General features: G+C 39.7%; 1 protein-coding gene across 25 annotated transcripts in view, besides 1 other annotated feature; it reads left to right on the top strand.

Annotated features, from left to right (window-relative positions):
• Nucleotides 211–430: an enhancer, noted in NCBI's record as "active region_21831". NCBI's record gives its function as "activates an Ori minimal core promoter by ATAC-STARR-seq in GM12878 lymphoblastoid cells {active_cell/tissue: GM12878}" and the evidence as "EXISTENCE:reporter gene assay evidence [ECO:0000049][PMID:35858748]".
• Nucleotides 227–16,606, top strand: part of ZGRF1 (zinc finger GRF-type containing 1) — a 97,571-nt gene continuing 81,191 nt past the window's right edge. For 10 of the 25 annotated variants that reach the window (XR_938764.2, XM_017008370.2, XM_011532091.3 and 7 more), the window contains exons 1-4: nucleotides 227–285; nucleotides 3,894–3,980; nucleotides 5,126–5,206; nucleotides 13,260–13,319. Coding sequence is in view for 23 of the 25 variants with exons in the window: in XM_017008370.2 (XP_016863859.1) it covers nucleotides 3,960–3,980; nucleotides 5,126–5,206; nucleotides 13,260–13,319 (162 nt within the window). In the remaining 2 variants the exon portion in view is untranslated. Of the gene's footprint in view, nucleotides 442–3,893; nucleotides 3,981–5,125; nucleotides 5,207–7,357; nucleotides 7,378–13,259; nucleotides 13,320–16,606 lie in introns of those variants that run through there. The other 15 variants (XM_047415912.1, XM_047415909.1, XM_047415915.1 and 12 more) reach the window with 4 other exon arrangements.

Here is a 16,606-nt window from a genome sequence, read left to right as displayed (position 1 = left end):
AACGTTTTCCGGTCCCAATTGAGAAAGACGGGCCCGGAGGCAGTGCGCGCTCCACCTACGTCACAGGCGAGGTGGTTCCAGGAGGGCTGGGCATCGGAGAGCGCGGCCGGCTGAGAGACTCGAAGCCAAGGAAGAATTTGATTGGCGATTTGAAAGCGGCGGTTTTTGGCTTAGGCGGAGGTGGGCGGGCCAAGTTTTGGGTCCTCATCTGGTGAGGTCCCGCGTTAATGACGTCACGTTGTTTCGCGGGAGAAATTCGAAAGTGGATTTTGTGCAATTTGACAGGTGAGGTGAAGTGTTTCTCGGGATTTCCTAGGAATGACTTGAGCGATTTGGGGCGAAGGGACGAAAGACTCTGCTCCTTAAGAAGAGAACCGGGAAGGATGCTGTTTGGAACCAGGATTGGGGTGGTCGCAGTCACAGCTACTCGGACTGCTTGTAGTAAGTGGTGCCTCTTCACCGTTTTTCCCAGGCCTTGCTTTGCAATTTCGAGTAGGTATGAGGACCAAAGAGGGCTTTGCTGTTTGTATTTAGGACTGAGAAAGGATCAAGTCTCCATTGTCATTTGGTGACAGGATTATGGTTCTTAGAATCTTGGCAAATGAGATGTGGGTTTCCTTTGTTTATTTGGACTGGATGGTTTGTTAACAATGTTGAGTTCATGATTCCAAAACTTTGTTATCCGAACTATTTAGAGGTTCAGGTTTAGGTTCAAAAAATACTCCTTGTTTAAAAAAAAAGGAAAAATATCTAGTATTTAAATGAATAATGGCTCATACTTTACTGAGAACACCGAGTTTTATGTATATATATTGCGTCCGTACATATAGTAGCACAATGTATATGTATGTATATGTGTGTATGTACGTATATCTGTGTGTATGTATGTATGTATATAATTATCACAGAGCATCTGGGGTCTTTAAAAACTTATTTGGAGATTAATCTTTCACCTATTAGAAGTCGGTCAACAGGTGAATTGTCTGGTAGACGTGGACAGATGAACACTTGGAAAAAACTCTTTGCATCTCACTTAAATATATATGATGCTGTTGTCTAAAATAATTTTTTCTGATTAATACTAAGATAAGAAAGGGTGTTGACTTTCAATGAATAAGTATTAGAGCTCTTCTAAATTTTAAAAGATCCAGTTAGCTTTTTTTTTTTAGGTTTTCTCCTATAATCGAATTTAACCATCCTTTAAGAGTTTCAGTCTTCTTAGTTCTTTTTAAACTGTACATTCCAGAAGTAATATCTCAATTTAGGAAAATAATGGAGAATTTATCTTGCAATTGTGAAATAGCATATAAGTTATCCTAAACTAGTAAATACTGGGTTCCTAATCTGTAAATTGTAATAATGCTTATTCTTCAGGATTATGAGACTGATAAATACTGTATGTAAAGTATCTCGTCCAATTCCTGCCTGATACATAGTATGTAATCAATAAATATATATAATTACACACGATAATCATATAATTGTATATTACATAATACAGTAATATAGTTATATATTATATAATTACATAATAATTATAATGTATATAATTAACAATATAATGTATATAATGTTTATAATATAGCACTTTGGGAGGCTGGAAGGATTGCTTGAGCCCAGGAGTTTGAGGCCACAGCGAGCTATGATTGCAACACTGCACTCCAGCCTAGGTGACAGAGTGAGACCCTGTCTCTGTAAAAGAAAAAGAAAAGTTAAAAAGCCAACAGAAACAAAACCTCCAAATAAAGCATTTAACAGTTTCTAGCATATGGTAGCACTGAATAAATGGTAGCTATTAAACAGATCTGATATTAATAATTGCCACATGCCCAGCACTGTGTCTGTACCATGTATTCTCATCTATGTATACAGCATATCTAGCCCAGGAGTGTTTTTCTCGATCTCTCTTTTATCTTCTTGGCATTCTTAGGCATCAGCAATTTATGTACGCCGGAGGGGAGGGAGATAGGATGTGGAAGTTGTATTTCTTTTTTTTTTTTTTTTTTGAGATGGAGTCTCGCTCTGTCGCCCAGGCTGGAGTGCAGTGGCGTGATCTCTGCTCACTGCAACCTCCGCCTCCCGGGTTCAAGCAATTCTCCTGCCTCAGCCTCCTGAGTAGCTGGGACTACAGGCCTGTGCCACCATGCCCAGCTAATTTTTGTATTTTTAGTAGAGACGGGGTTTCACCATGTTGGTCAGGCTGGTCTCGAGCGCCTGACCTCATGATCCACCCGCCATGGCCTCCCAGAGTGCTGGGATTACAGGCGTGAGTCACCACACCCGGCCAGGAGTTATATTTCTGAAAGGCAGTCCTTCTGTAGGTTTGGTTTCTGTCCTGTGACCTGTGTCACGAAGCAAGTATGCATATCTCATTTGCATACCCCTTACCTATTCTTTCTCCAGATCACCTTGATTAGTCAAGGGAAGATGCCAGTCACTTTCTTGCACTTCACCGCCCCCGCCTCGCCCTTTTATTTTTTTTTTTTGAGACAGTTTTGCTCTTGTCGCCCAGGCTGGAGTGCAGTGGCGTGATCTCGGCTCACTGCAGCCTCTGCCTCCTGGGTTCAAGTGATTCTCCTGCCTCAGCCTCCCAAGTAGCTGGGATTATAGGCACGCACCACCACACCTGGCTAATTTTTGTATTTTTAGTAGAGACAGGGGTTTCACCATGTTGGCCAGGCTGGTCTCGAACTCCTGACCTCAGGTGATCCACCTGTCTCGGCCTCCCAAAGTGCTGGGATCACAGGCCTGCAATTCTTGTTTGGGAAGACCTTCACTGGCCTTCCCTTGACTAAGGGTTATTTCAGCTTACAGCTTAGACTTTACTTCCTTGAAGAAGCCTTGTTTGATGATCCACACCAAGCTGGGTGCCCCTGCTGTGCTTATTCCTGCCTTATTTTATTAAAATTACTGTTTATCACCCCGCCATACTGAAATTCCTTCAGATGGAGGATAGAGTTTCCATTTAAATACTTTAGCATAATATCTGGCACAATAGTAAGTACTGAATAAATATATGTAACTTATAAATAATATGTAAGTGGCATATTTTATATGTCTAAAAGAGGAACTGAAATCACAATTACAGCTTTATTGAATCCTTCTAGGTCTTTTAGATCTGTATTCTCAAACTTGAGTGTCCATCAGCATCACTTGGAGGGCTTCTTAAAACACAGACTGCTGGGCCCCCAACCCCAGACTTTCTGACTTAATAGGTCATTTCTTACTAGTTCCCAGATGATACTGTTGGTCCAGGGGTCACATCTTGAGAACCACCTTAGGGGAAAAAAAAGAAAGTATGTTTCTTTGGCATTTCTGTTTACTTCTTCAGGGATCACCATCAGTGATTTTAGATTTCCAAATTTGCCCACAAAAACAGTTTTATCCAATAGCATAACAACTACAGTAACTGTTGCAACAGTGTTGGAAAGATTTTTCCTTGTAGAGGTACTATGTAATTGGTCCTAGATACTGTGGTATATTGATGCTAAGAAGTGAAAGGAAAAATTTAAAACACAAGGGGGCCATCTTGTGGTAACCGTAGCAATTCAGAAAACTTTAAAAATTGAATTTGCGCTATAGGGAACCAAACATGTGGAGGACAAATTCGTGTTTTCTGATACATATTATGCATCTGGAAAAATGCAGACTACAAGTTAATTTATGTATTTTACTTAGTTTTTTCTTTACTTATGAAAAAATGCTTGTTTCACAGCATGGTATCACTTTTACTGTGTCCTCAGTGATAGATAATTACACCTCTGTTTCCCTTGGTAGTTAGGTAATCTTGGAACTCCTTGATTCATGTCTGTGGTTGGGAGTTTATTGAGAAAAATTATATTTGATATTTTTTAAAAATCAGGGTTGAAATTTTATGTCATTTTTAATTTTAGGTGGTATAAATAGTTGAATATTTCCTATTTTCTGGACCCAGCTGGTTTATAACTTCAGAAGAAATAATGGAAAGCCAAGAATTTATTGTAAGTTTTACCATTTTTCACAGTTTGGTGAAATTCCCTTCCTCTGTCTCTTTCTTTTAAAGGCGTTTCACAAACATCTTGCTGTGTTGCCAGATTTAGCAAAAACAAAACAAAAAACAGGCTACTCAGTTAAATTTGAATTTCAAATAAACAATGCATACCTTTTTTAGCATTAGGATCCCAAATATTGCACAGTATTTTATCTGGTAACCCTATCTGTTACCTACTATTCATATTTGTTACACAAAATCATCACTTTTCAGCCTTTTGGCTAAGATCAAGTATTAGACAAAGTCCTTTGTAACATAATCTTTGAAAGTGTGAGACCGGGAAACAATTTCTTTCTCTTGAAGAACTGGCATCCGTCTTCTGTATAGATCAGCAGTTCTCACACTATTTGGTCTCGGGACTCTTTAACACTTAGAAAATTATTGACCCCAAATAACTTGTGTATATAGGGTCTTACGTCTATTGATGTTTTTCATATTAGAAGTTAAAGCAGAAATGTAAAAAGTATTTATGATTTGGCTTAATGGAAGACAACTGGATTCTCATATTTGTTTCTTCTACATTCAGATTGCAATTGAATCTTACAATATTGCATATACATAATCCTGGGAAACTTCATTCTGCACCCCTGAAGGAGTGAGGATGAAAAGACAGCATCATGAAAATAGTTTTGACCTCACAGATACCTGTAAAGGTCTTGGAGACCTCCAGGAGTCTCTGGACCAAACTTTGAGAACTGCACAGATTATTAGTACTGTGTAATCCAGTAATTTTTTTCCCTTCCAATTGATGACTAGGGAGCTCAAATTACTTTCAATGCTCATTTATCTTTTTTGTTTCTTCCTTGGATTTCTCCTCTCCTTTCTTCCTTCTCCTGCCATTTCCTCCCCTATTCCCTCCCTCTCCTTCTCTCTCTCCCTTCCTTCCCTTATTTATTTCATTTAATTAATATTTAATGTTATTGTCATGCTATCTGTGCTTTTGTTTTTAAAATTTAAAAAATTGATATGGGTGTATGTGCCTTTTTTTGATGAAAGGTGCCTTAAATATATTTTGTATGTAGGAAGGATATATAAAATACATAACATTAAATATATATAAATGGAAACCATTTCTTTTGTATTTTTGGAAATAAGGTTCTATATACTCATCAAAAGATGAAGAAGTCAAAAGTGTGGCAAGATGGAATTCTGAAGATCACTCACTTAGGAAACAAAGTGAGTACAAAGCAGTTGACTATAGGGTGCAAGAGCAAGGTTCTCGATTTTTGATTGAATATTTAAAAAACTGTACATGATAAAATGTCAGATATATCCATACACTGAAATGATGTGAAAACAGATTTTCAAATGATCCCCATATCACAGTGGTTAATTTGTGCGTTATAAAAATAGTTCATTAATAGATAGAACGAATAAGATCTGTTATCCAGTAGCACAGTACAGTAACTATTGTTATTTATTTTTATTTTTTTTGAGACAGAGTCTTACTCTGTCACCCAGGCTGGGGTGCAGTGGCACGATCTCGGCTCACTGCAAACTCTGCCTCCCGGGTTCAAACGATTCTCCTGCCTCAGCCTCCCAAGTAGCTGGGACTACAGGCACCCGACACCATGCCTGACTAATTTTTTTGTATTTTTAGTAGAGACGGGGTTTCACCATGTTTCCCAGGCTTGTCTCGAACTCCTGACCTCAGGTGAGCTGCCTGCCTCAGCCTCCCAAAGTGCTGGGATTACAGGAGTGAGCCACTGCCCCCGGCTGAGTGACTATTGTTAATGATAATTTTTTGTATATTTTTAAAATAACTCCAGGAGTGGAATTGGAATGCTCCTAACATAAATGATAAGGCCAGGCATCATGGCTCATACCTGTAATCCCACCACGTTGGGAGGCTGAGGCAGGAAGATTGCTTGAAGCCTGGAGTTCAAGACCAGCCTGGGCAGCGAAGCAAGACTCTGTCTCTACAAAAAAATTAAAAGTAAATAAAAAAGTTTTTAAAAAGTTATAAACTGCTTATTATATGCTAGGCATAATGCTTTAAAAGTATCAACTTACTTAGTCTGCATAACTCTCCTACTAGTTAGGTATTCTTTTAATCTTTATTTTACTGAAGATGAAACTGGGGTACAGAGAGATGGAGTAGCTTGCCCAAGGGTCAAAGCTGGAAGGTGGAGGAGCCACATATGAACCTAGGCTTTTTGTCCCCAGGGCCCATGTCCTAACCATTCTCCATTCTACTGCGTCTCTTTTTTTTTTTTTTTGAGCCAGAATCTCACTCTGTTGCCCGGGTTGGAGTGCAGTGGCATGATCTCGGCTCACTGCAGCCTCCGCCTCCCACGTTCAAGCAGTTCTGCCTCAGCCCCCCAAGTAGCTGGGACTACAGGTGCCACCACCACGCCCGGCTAATTTTTTGTATTTTTAGTAGAGACGGTTTCGCCATGTTGTTCAGGCTGGTCTTGAACTCCTGACCTCAGGTGATCCAAATATTACTAATTTTAAAAAAGAACTTTATTACAGTTGAGTCACTAATTTTATATAGGACACATTGACAATGTCTGTGGCCTCCTGAATGAAGTCCCTACTCCTCAGTCTAGCAATTAAAGATAACCATATTCTGTTCTTTTTTTTTGAGATGGATTTTTGCTCTTGTCGCCCAGGCTGGAGTGCAGTGGCACAATCTCGGCTCCCTGAAGCCTCTGCCTCCCAGGTTCAGGTGATTCTCCTGCCTCAGCCTCCTGAGTAGCTGAGATTACAGGCACTTGCAACCATGCTCAGCTACTTTTTGTATTTTTAATAGACACGGAGTTTCACCATGTTGGTCAGGCTGGTCTTGAACTCCTGACTTCAGGTAATCCACCTCCCTAGGCCTCCCAAAGTGCTGGGATTACAGGCGTGAGCCACTGCGCCTGGCCTGAGCCACTGCGCCTGGCCCTACTATTTCTTAATATTTAATTTGTTAAAACAGCAAATTAAAAAACTAATTTTGCCTTAAGCCTTCAAGTTCAATTTATGTAATCCTATTAAATTTGTAAACCTAGTTAAGTTAAACAGTTACTTTCAGTAGGGTTTTAGCTTAATGTTCAAGCAACTTAAGTTGAAAAAACTAAGTGCTTTTTTTTTTTCTTTTTTTAGACAGAGTCTTGCTCTGTTGCCCAGGCTGGAGTGCAGTGGCACAGTCTTGGCTCACTACAACCTCTGCATCCAAGGTTCAAGTGATTATCCTGCCTCAGCCTCCTGAGTAGCTGGGATTACAAGCGCCCACCACCATGCCTGGCTAATTTTTGTGTTTTTAGTAGAGATGGGGTTTCACCATGTTGGCCAGGCTGGTCTCAAACTCCTGACCTCAAGTGATCCACCCACCTCAGCCTCCTAAAGTGCTGGTATTACAGGTATGAGCCACTGTGCCTGGCAAAAGTAGCTTTTTAAAATTAAAAATAACACAAATATTTTATTAGTTTTTTTTTGTTTGTTTGTCTTTTGAGACAGAACTAACTCTGTCACTCAGGCTGGAGTGCAGCGGTGCAATCTCTGCTCTCTGCAACCTCCACCTCCTAGGCTCAAGTGATCCTCCCACCTCAGCATCCCAAGTAGCTGGAACCACAGGCACACACCACCTCACCTGGCAATTTTTACATTTTTTGTAGAGACAGGGTTTCACCATGTTGGCCAGGCTGGTCTCAAACTCCTGAGCTCAAGCCGTCTGCCTGCCTTGGCCTCCCAAAGTATTGGGATTACAGGCATAAGCCACCGCGCCTGGCTCAAATATTTTAAATATCGGATTACCTAATGTCAGATTGGCCAATAACTAAAATCTGTTCATGATCATAATTCAAAAGTATTGATATTTTTGTTTCGAATTACTTCATTATCTCTATATCCAGTTCTAAATGTTTCAGGAGTTACAGGGTACTTTCACGTTGAGTAAAAAACTTGTTACCCAAGTAAACTGGAGTTATCATATCAATGAACTGAGGCTGCTAATAAGATTTTGGATTGAAATTTGAGACCCAGGGCTATAGATAATCAGGATAACTTGAACACCATCACCAAGGGACATGTCGAGCCTTGTGTTTAATTGTAGTAACAACAGGATCTCCAAGTCTATGCTCTTTAAAGGTGGTGGTCTCATAGTTAATATCGCTATGTTCAAGTCATGTGATTAATTCTTCTAATTTAAATAGATGAATATTCAGGTCTTTGCATATCCATATTTTTTTTAAATACATAAACTAATTCATTCAGTGTCTGATGCTATTCTATATAACTTTTTCTTTTATATTCTGCCTTTTTCTTTAGATCCAGTGTCTTTAAAATCTTGTAGATATTTAAAAGCCATCTGATTGGATTCTGCATATCCTTTGTGTTGTCTTCTGGTTCCAAATTATTATGGTCATGCTAGTGCTATTATCCAACTTTATCTTCAACTATAGCATACATTTGTTGAGTGCCCATTATATATCTCACACAAGTAGGTTATAGGAAAACAAGATAGATTCAAGTTAGTCCCTGAAAGTTTCTATGTTCCAGGCAAGTTAATTATCTCACTGTTTCCTAAATAACGCCCTCAATCTTAAATGCAGGCTATTGCTTATATTCTTCTCTTGCTAGTTATGCCTTTTCTCTATCTAAATTCTGTCAAAGTTATTCATCTTCCACTGAATAAGTCATCAACCAACCAACATATTACTGGTAGACAGTGGGAAAAGTCAAATAGGTGGATGCAGAGTAGAAGAGCAGTTAGCATCAAATGTCAAGTAGACCTCAGTTTCAATTCTGGCTCTTCTCTTATTAGATGTATAATTTTGGGGGAGTAATCTCAGTGCCTCTGTTCTTTCTTTGTAAAATGGGGAAAATGATGCTTCATAAAGTTGTCTTAAGGATTAAAATAAGTAACACGTAAAGACCTTAACGAAGTACCTGCCACATCCTGAGCACGCAATGAATGGTAGTTTGTTATTAGAATTCTTGTCTTCAAGGGACTTTTATCTAATTTTTGACTAAGGGCATAAGGATCATAATATGTTTGTTTAGGATTCTATGAGATTACAAGGTAGAGACATTTAGATCTGTCTCTGGTTCAGAGAAGTCTTTCCAGATGAAGCATATATATATATTTTTTGTTCTGTTTTGTAAACAAAATTGCTAAGTTAGGGGGAAGGGAGCTGAAGATTGTATCCTAGTCCCAACAACATGAATGTATGAAATGATACGAAATGTGGGGAACTATAAGCATTTAAATATAGCTGAAATGAAGGCCCCATATTGGGAAATGATGCAGTATAAAGCTAAAGTGGTAGACAGGAACAATATCATGAAGAATTTTGTATGCTCAGCCCCAGGAGCTAATGAAGAATTATGAGAAGAAGAGTGACATATCATATTTGTATTTTATTTTATTCTATTTTTTTGAGTAGAAGTCTTCCACTGTCACCCAGGCTGGAGTGCAGTGGCACGATCTCGGCTCACTACAGCCTCTGCCTCCTGGGCACAAGTGATTCTTGGGCCTCAGCCTCCTGAGTAGCTGGGATTACAAGCATGTGCCACCACACTTGGCTAATTTTTGTATTTTTGGTAGAGACGGGTTTCACCATGTTGGCCAGGTTGGTCTCAAACTCTCGACCTCAGATGATCCACCCGCCTCGGCCTCTTAAAGTGCTGGGATTACAGACATGAGCCACCGTGCCCGGCTATATTTGTATTTTAGAAAGATTGGTTTGGCAGCAGTGTAAAAGTTGTGTAGGATGAAAGTCAGATTGGATTTCAGAGACTTATAGTAGAGGCTGTAGAATAATCTAGACAAAAATTAATGGAGGTCTGACCAAGCAGGCATTTGCAATGGCAATGGAGAAAAAGAATGATTATAGAGAAATTATGAAAGCATAGCCTCTTAGATCTTGGATATAGAAGGTGAGAAGAGGATCCAGAATGACTTTTAGGTTTGTGTATTTATTTCCCAAAATGAAGTATTTCAAAAAGAAAAATAAGTGAATGGGAACAATCAAGATTTTTAGTTCCATTTTGAACATAATAAATTTGAGGCTGGGCGCGGTGGCTCATGCCTGTAATCCTAGTACTTTGGGAGGCCAAGATGGGCAGATCACTTGAGGTCAGGAGTTTGAGACCAGGCCAGCCTGGTTAACGTGGTGAAACCCCGTCTCTACTAAAAATATAAAAATGAGCCAGGCATGGTGGCGGGTGCTTGTAATTCCAGCTACTCAAGAGATTGAGGCCCAAGAATCGCTTGAATCTGGGAGGTGGAGGTTGCAGTGATCTGAGATCATGCCACTGCACTGTAGCTTGAGCAATAGAGCAAGACTCAGTCTCAAAAAAAGAAAAATAAATAAATAAATAAATAAATAAATTTGAAGTATCACAGAAGCACTCACGTAATTAGCTGTAGAGACCCAGATCTCTGGAAGGAGTTCCTGACTACTAGTATAGATTGGAAGTCCTTGGCTTTTAGATGGTATTTGAAACTATTGGAGTGGATTCATTTGTTCAACAAATATTTTTTGGGCATCCGAGTGAGTTGCACACTGTTCTAAGAAATACAGCAGGGAACAAAACAAATAAATCCCTGACTTCATGGAAATAACGTGGAGGAGACAGACCACTAAATTAAATGCATATGTATGTCTAGTGAAAGGCAATAACAAGGACATTAGTGTGGTTGGAACAGAGTGAGCAAGGGCGAGAATGGAGATAAAGGGGATTATATAAGCCTCACTGGCTATGGAAAGAACTTTTGTTATTCTTAGGAGCTGTAGAGACATGGGAATGATTTGAGCAGGAGCATAACATGATCTGATTTATATGGATGATAGTGCTCAGGGAGGGTGTATCAAATTAAAAGAGGGACAAGAATACCATTTTTTTAACAGCTTTATTGAGATATAATTCACACTTCACACACTTTTCGATTCACCCGTTCAGTGATTTTTAGTATTTTCACAGTTTTGCAGCCATTAGCACAATTTAAATTTGGCATATTTTTGTCACCACCAAAAGAAATCTCATACTCATTGGCAATTACTACTCAGTACCCAGCCCCCAGCCCTATGCAAACACAAATCTACTTACTGTCTCTAGATTTACCTATTCTGGACATTTTTGCATCAATGAAATTATATAATAAGTAGTCTTTTGTGAATAAGTCTTATTTAGCATAATATTTTCAGGGTTCTTCCATGTTGAAGCATGTATCTTCATATATATTTTATTTTTTATTGCCATATAACTTTTTTTTTTTTTTGAGACGGAGTTTCGTTCTTGTTGCCCAGGCTGGAGTGCAATGGCGTGTTCTCAGCTCACCAAAACATCCACCTCCCCAGTTCAAGCGATTCTCCTGCCTCAGCCTCCTGAGTAGCTGGGATTACAGGCATGTGCCACCAAGGCTGGCTAATTTTGTATTTTAGTAGAGACGGGGTTTCTCCGTGTTGGTCAGGCTGGTCTCGAACTCCTGACCTCAGGTGATCTGCCCGCCTCAGCCTCCCAAAGTGCTGGGATTACAGACGTGAGCCACCACGCCTGGCATGATTTTCTTTTCTTTTTTTTTTTTTTTTGAGACGGAATCTCGCTCTGTCGCCCAGGCTGGAGTGCAGTGGCGCGATCTCGGCTTACTGCAAGCTCCGCCTCCCGGGTTTCACGCCATTCTCCTGCCTCAGCCTCCCGAATAGCTGGGACTACAGGCGCCTGCCACCGCGCCCGGCTAATTTTTTTGTATTTTTAGTAGAGATGGGGTTTCACCGTGTTAGCAGGATGGTCTCGATCTCCTGACCTCGTGATCCGCCGCCTCGGCCTCCCAAAGTGCTGGGATTACAGGCTTGAGCCACCGCGCCTGGCGATTTTCTTTTTTTAAATAGACAGGGTCTTGCTCTGTCACCCAGGCTGGATTGCAGTGGTGCAATCATAGTTCACTGTAGCCTCAAACCCTTAGGCTCAAACAATCCTTCCGCCTTAGCTTCCGAAGTAGTTGGGACTACTTAGGCTTGCACCACCATGTCTGGCTAATAAAAAAAATTTTTTAGAGATAGAGTCTTGCTTCGTTCCCTGGATTGATCTTGAACCTCTGGTCTCAGATAATCCTTGCATCTCAGCCTGCAGAGTACCTGGAGTATCTGGGTTTAACACCATGAGCCGTGTACCAAGCCCAATACGTCATGTTTTATTTATCCATTCATAATACAGTTGATATACCTTTGGGTTACTTCAACTTTTTGGCTATTATGAATAATGCTGCTATGAGCATTAATGTGCAAGTTTTTGTATAGATATATGTTTTTATTTCTGTTGGGTATATACCTAGGAGTGGAATTGCTGGGTCATGTGGGAACTTTAATCTTTCAAGGAATTGCCAAACTGTTTTCCAAAGTGATGGAAACACCAATATTAAAAGGGCTAGTGGAAAAATTGCTATGAAAAAGGGCTACAGACATAAGGGAAAAGCTAGAAAATGGTAATCACCTTAGCATCCTTTTTCCCCCCTTACCCCTCACATTTAACAAGTTTTATTCATTATACCTCATAAATAATTATCTTATCCTCCCAAATGTCAATATCTTAAGTGCTAATCATCTCCTTCATCCTGTATACCATCCCATTGCAATAATCTCTTAAAATGATCTTGTCTCCTGTTTGTCCCCTTTAATGTGTTTCAATTATAATTTCTTCCCAATTTTTTTTTTTTTAATTGAGATGGAGTCTCACTCTGTTGCCTAGGCTGGAATGCAGTGGCGTGATCTCAGCTCACTGCAACCCTGTCACCTGGGTTCAAGCAATTCTCCTGCCTCAGCCTGTATTTTTAGTAGAGATGGGGTTTTGCCATGTTGGCCAGGCTGGTCTAGACCTCAAGTGATCCACCTGCTTTGGCCTCCGAAAATGCTGGGATTACAGGCATGAACCACCATGCCCAGCCTCTTCCCAGTTTCATTCTAATATCCTCCTGGTAGGAATTAAGTTCTTGAATTCCTTTTTTTTTTTTTTTTGAGCAGTAGCAAGATTTATTGCGAAGAGCGAAAGAACAAAGCTTCCACAGCGTGGAAGGGGACCCGAGCGGGTTGCCCGAATTTCTTTTATGTATGCCTTTACTCTCTTAAACAGACTGATGCATAATAAACATTCAAAATAGATGAATTTTCAAATCCAAGTTCAACAAATGTAATCCTTTCATTATATGATTACTTATATAACAATTACTTATTTCCTCTTGAAGAAGTTTAAGAAAAGCATAATTGTGTTGTTCCTTTTTAACATTTATTTTGTTTTCATACAGGCAATTTTATATGATGACAAAGGAGCATGTTTGGAGAGTCTGTTTCTTAAATGCCTTGAGGTATTTTAGTGTGTTTATCTTATTTTTAAGTTATTATTTAAAAATCTCTTTAAATACCTCCTTTATGAATATTGTTAGTGTAGTCATAATATTAATACTAATAGTATTTGTTGAACATTATAGCTAGACTTTGTGCTAAAACCTTTTAGATATTGTTTCCTTTAATCTCTACAACTGATTTTTTATGATCTAAAAAAAACCTGATTTTTATAGATTAGGAGTGCAGTGCAGAAAGGTTAAGTAACTTGCTTATGTTCATAGAGTAACAGTGGTAGGAAGGCTGAAATTTGATCCTAGGAGGTGATTCTAGAGTCTAATTCTACTACATGATTTTTTCATAGGCAGAGGTCTACTGTGGGAAATTTTTTGTGACATATTCTCATTTAAGTATAATATTCTCTCACCAAAAAGAGAACTACCATTCAACCCAGGAGTACTATAACTGGGTATATACCCAAAGGAATATAAGTTGTTCTACCATAAAGACACATGTATGTGTATGTTCATTGTAGCACTATTCACAATAGCAAAGACATGGAATCAGCCTAAATGCCTATCAGTGATAGACTGGATAAAGAAAATGAGATAGAAATACACCATGAAATATTATACAGCCATAAAAAAGAATGAGATCATGTTCTTTTGCAGGAATATGGATGGAGCTGGAGGTCATTATCCTTAGCAAACTAATGCAGGGACATAGAAAACCAAATATTACATGTTCTCACATGTAAGTGGGAACCAAATATTACATGTTCTTACATGTAAGTGGGAGCTAAATGATGAGAATGCATGGACAAACGGGAACAACAGACATTGAAGCCTACTGAGAAACGGAGAGAGGGTAGGAGGAGGAAGAGGATCAGGAAAAATAATGGGTACTAGACTTAATACTTGGGTGATGAAATAATCTGTATAATAAACCGCCATGACACGGGTTTACCTATATAACAAACCTGCACATGTACTCCTGAACTTAAAGGTTAAAAATAAATACATAAATATTCTGTCAAATACATAGTTTGTGTTTTTCCTCTCAAAGAGGAAAAAGCATGGAAAGAGAACTAAAGGCATATTTTAGTGAAGAGTTAGGATATTAAAGTTGGTCATTCTGGGTTCATTTCCCAGTTCTAAATACTTCCTGGCCCACCTAAACTCTCTATGTCTAACTTCTCTGATGTAAAATGTAGATCACAGACAGATTTTACAGGGTCGGTCTGAAGGTTAGAAATAATTTCTGTAAAGTGCCTAGCAGTTTTAGTTAGTACAGTGAGTCTTTTTTTTTTTTTTTTTTTTCGAGATGGAGTCTCCCTCTGTTGCCCAGGCTGGAGTATGGTGGCATAATCTTGGCTCACTGCAGCCTCTGCCTCCTGGGTTCAAGCAATTCTCCTTCCTCAGCCTCCCAAGTAGCTGAGATTACAGGCGTGCGCCACCATGCCCAGCTAATTTTTTGTATTTTTAGTAGAGATGGGGTTTCACCATGTTGGCCAGGCTGGTCTTGAACTCCTGACCTCAAGTGATCCACGTGCCTTGGCCTCCTAAAGTGCTGGGATTACAGGCATGAGCCACCGCACATAGTCTAGTACAGTGATTCTAAATGTGTTAAAATGCATACTATGATGATGACGATGTTGATTTTTGGCCATAATATTCATTTTGAAATTTTACATGACATCAGTAGTGGTTATGTTACTTTTATATATTTTTAAAAGGGTCTAGGAGAATCAGTATCTTAGTATATGGTCTGATTGGTGGTAACTACTATTATTTCATCTTAAAAATCATTTCAGGCCAGGCGCGGTGGCTCACGCCTGTAATCCCAGCACTTTGGGAGGCCGAGGCAGGCGGATCACCTGAGGTCAGGAGTTCAAGACCAGCCTGACCAACATGGAGAAACCTCTTCTCTACTAAACATACAAAAAATTAGCTGGACGTGGTGGTGCATGCCTGCAATCCCAGCTGCTTGGGAGGCTGAGGTAGGAGAATCGCTTGAACCTGGGAGGCGGAGGTTCGGTGAGCCGAGATTGCGCTGTTGCACTCCAGACTGGGCAACAAGAGCGAAACTCCATCTCAAAGAAAAAAAAATCATTTCATTAGTAAAATATTAATCTGATATAGAGTTTGTATATTTTCAAATTCAGCTGATAATTTTTTTTTTTTTTTGAGATGGAGTTTTGCTCTTGTTGCCCAGGCTAGAGTGCAATAGCGCGATCTCACCTCACCGCAACCTCTGCCTCCCGGGTTCAAGTGATTCTCCTGCCTCAGCCTCCCGAGTGGCTGGGATTACAGGCATGCACCACCACACCCGGCTAATTTGTTTTGTATTTTTAGTAGAGACGGGGTTTCACCATGTTGGTCAGGCTGGTCTCAAACTCCCAACCTCAGGTGATCCGCCCACCTCGGCCTCCCAAAGTGCTAGGATTACAGGTGTGAGCCACTGCGTCTGGTGATAATCTTATTTTTATGCTGCAGTCAGAGGTGGTGGCAAGTACTACATTTGCTCATTAACATGATTAAAATGCATTTTTGGAATATGATTAAGCAACTAATGATTTATAATAATGTTTAATTTGTGATAATTATGAGTATCTTATTCATTTAAAGATATATAGTTGGTAATAACTCTAATTTTTGAAAAGTTACACTTAGTTGTATGGATTCTAAGTGAATTGCTTGGGAGGGGGCATTTTGTTCTTGTTTGTCTTTGTATCCCTAGCATGTAACAAGGGGCCTTATATAGGTCCCCAGTATGTAATATTTATTTACTAATTTAATTTTGTTTTTAGAGACATTGTCTCACTCTGTCATCCAGGTTGGAGTATGGCAGTGTGATCATAGCTTACTACAGCCTCAAACTCCTGGGCTCAAGGGATCCTTCCACCTCAGCCTTTCAAGTAGCTGAGACTGTAGGAACATGCCACCATGCCTGGCTAATTTTTTTTTTTTTTTTTTTGAGACAGGGTCTCACTCTGTCACCTAGGCTAGAGAGCAGTGGTGTGAAAACTGCTCACTGCAGCCTTGACCTCCTAGTCTGAAATCATCCTCCCACCTCATTCCCCCCAAATAGCTGGGACTATAGGTGCATGCCACCATGCATGGCTAATTTTTTTAAAAGTTTTTTGTAGAGACAGGGTCTTGCTATGTTGACTAGGGTGGTCTTGACCTCCTGGCTTCAAGCAATCCCCCTGCCTTGGTGTCCTTAGTGCTGGGATTACAGGCATAAGCCATCCCATCCAGCCCAGGCTAATTTAAAATAAAAATTTTTTGTAGAGACAGGATCTCAATAT

The sequence above is a fragment of the Homo sapiens genome, chromosome 4 (genome assembly GCF_000001405.40).
Source record: "Homo sapiens chromosome 4, GRCh38.p14 Primary Assembly".
NCBI lineage: Eukaryota > Metazoa > Chordata > Mammalia > Primates > Hominidae > Homo > Homo sapiens.
Note: the sequence above shows the minus strand (reverse complement) of the source record. Positions and strands in the feature narration are given on the sequence as shown.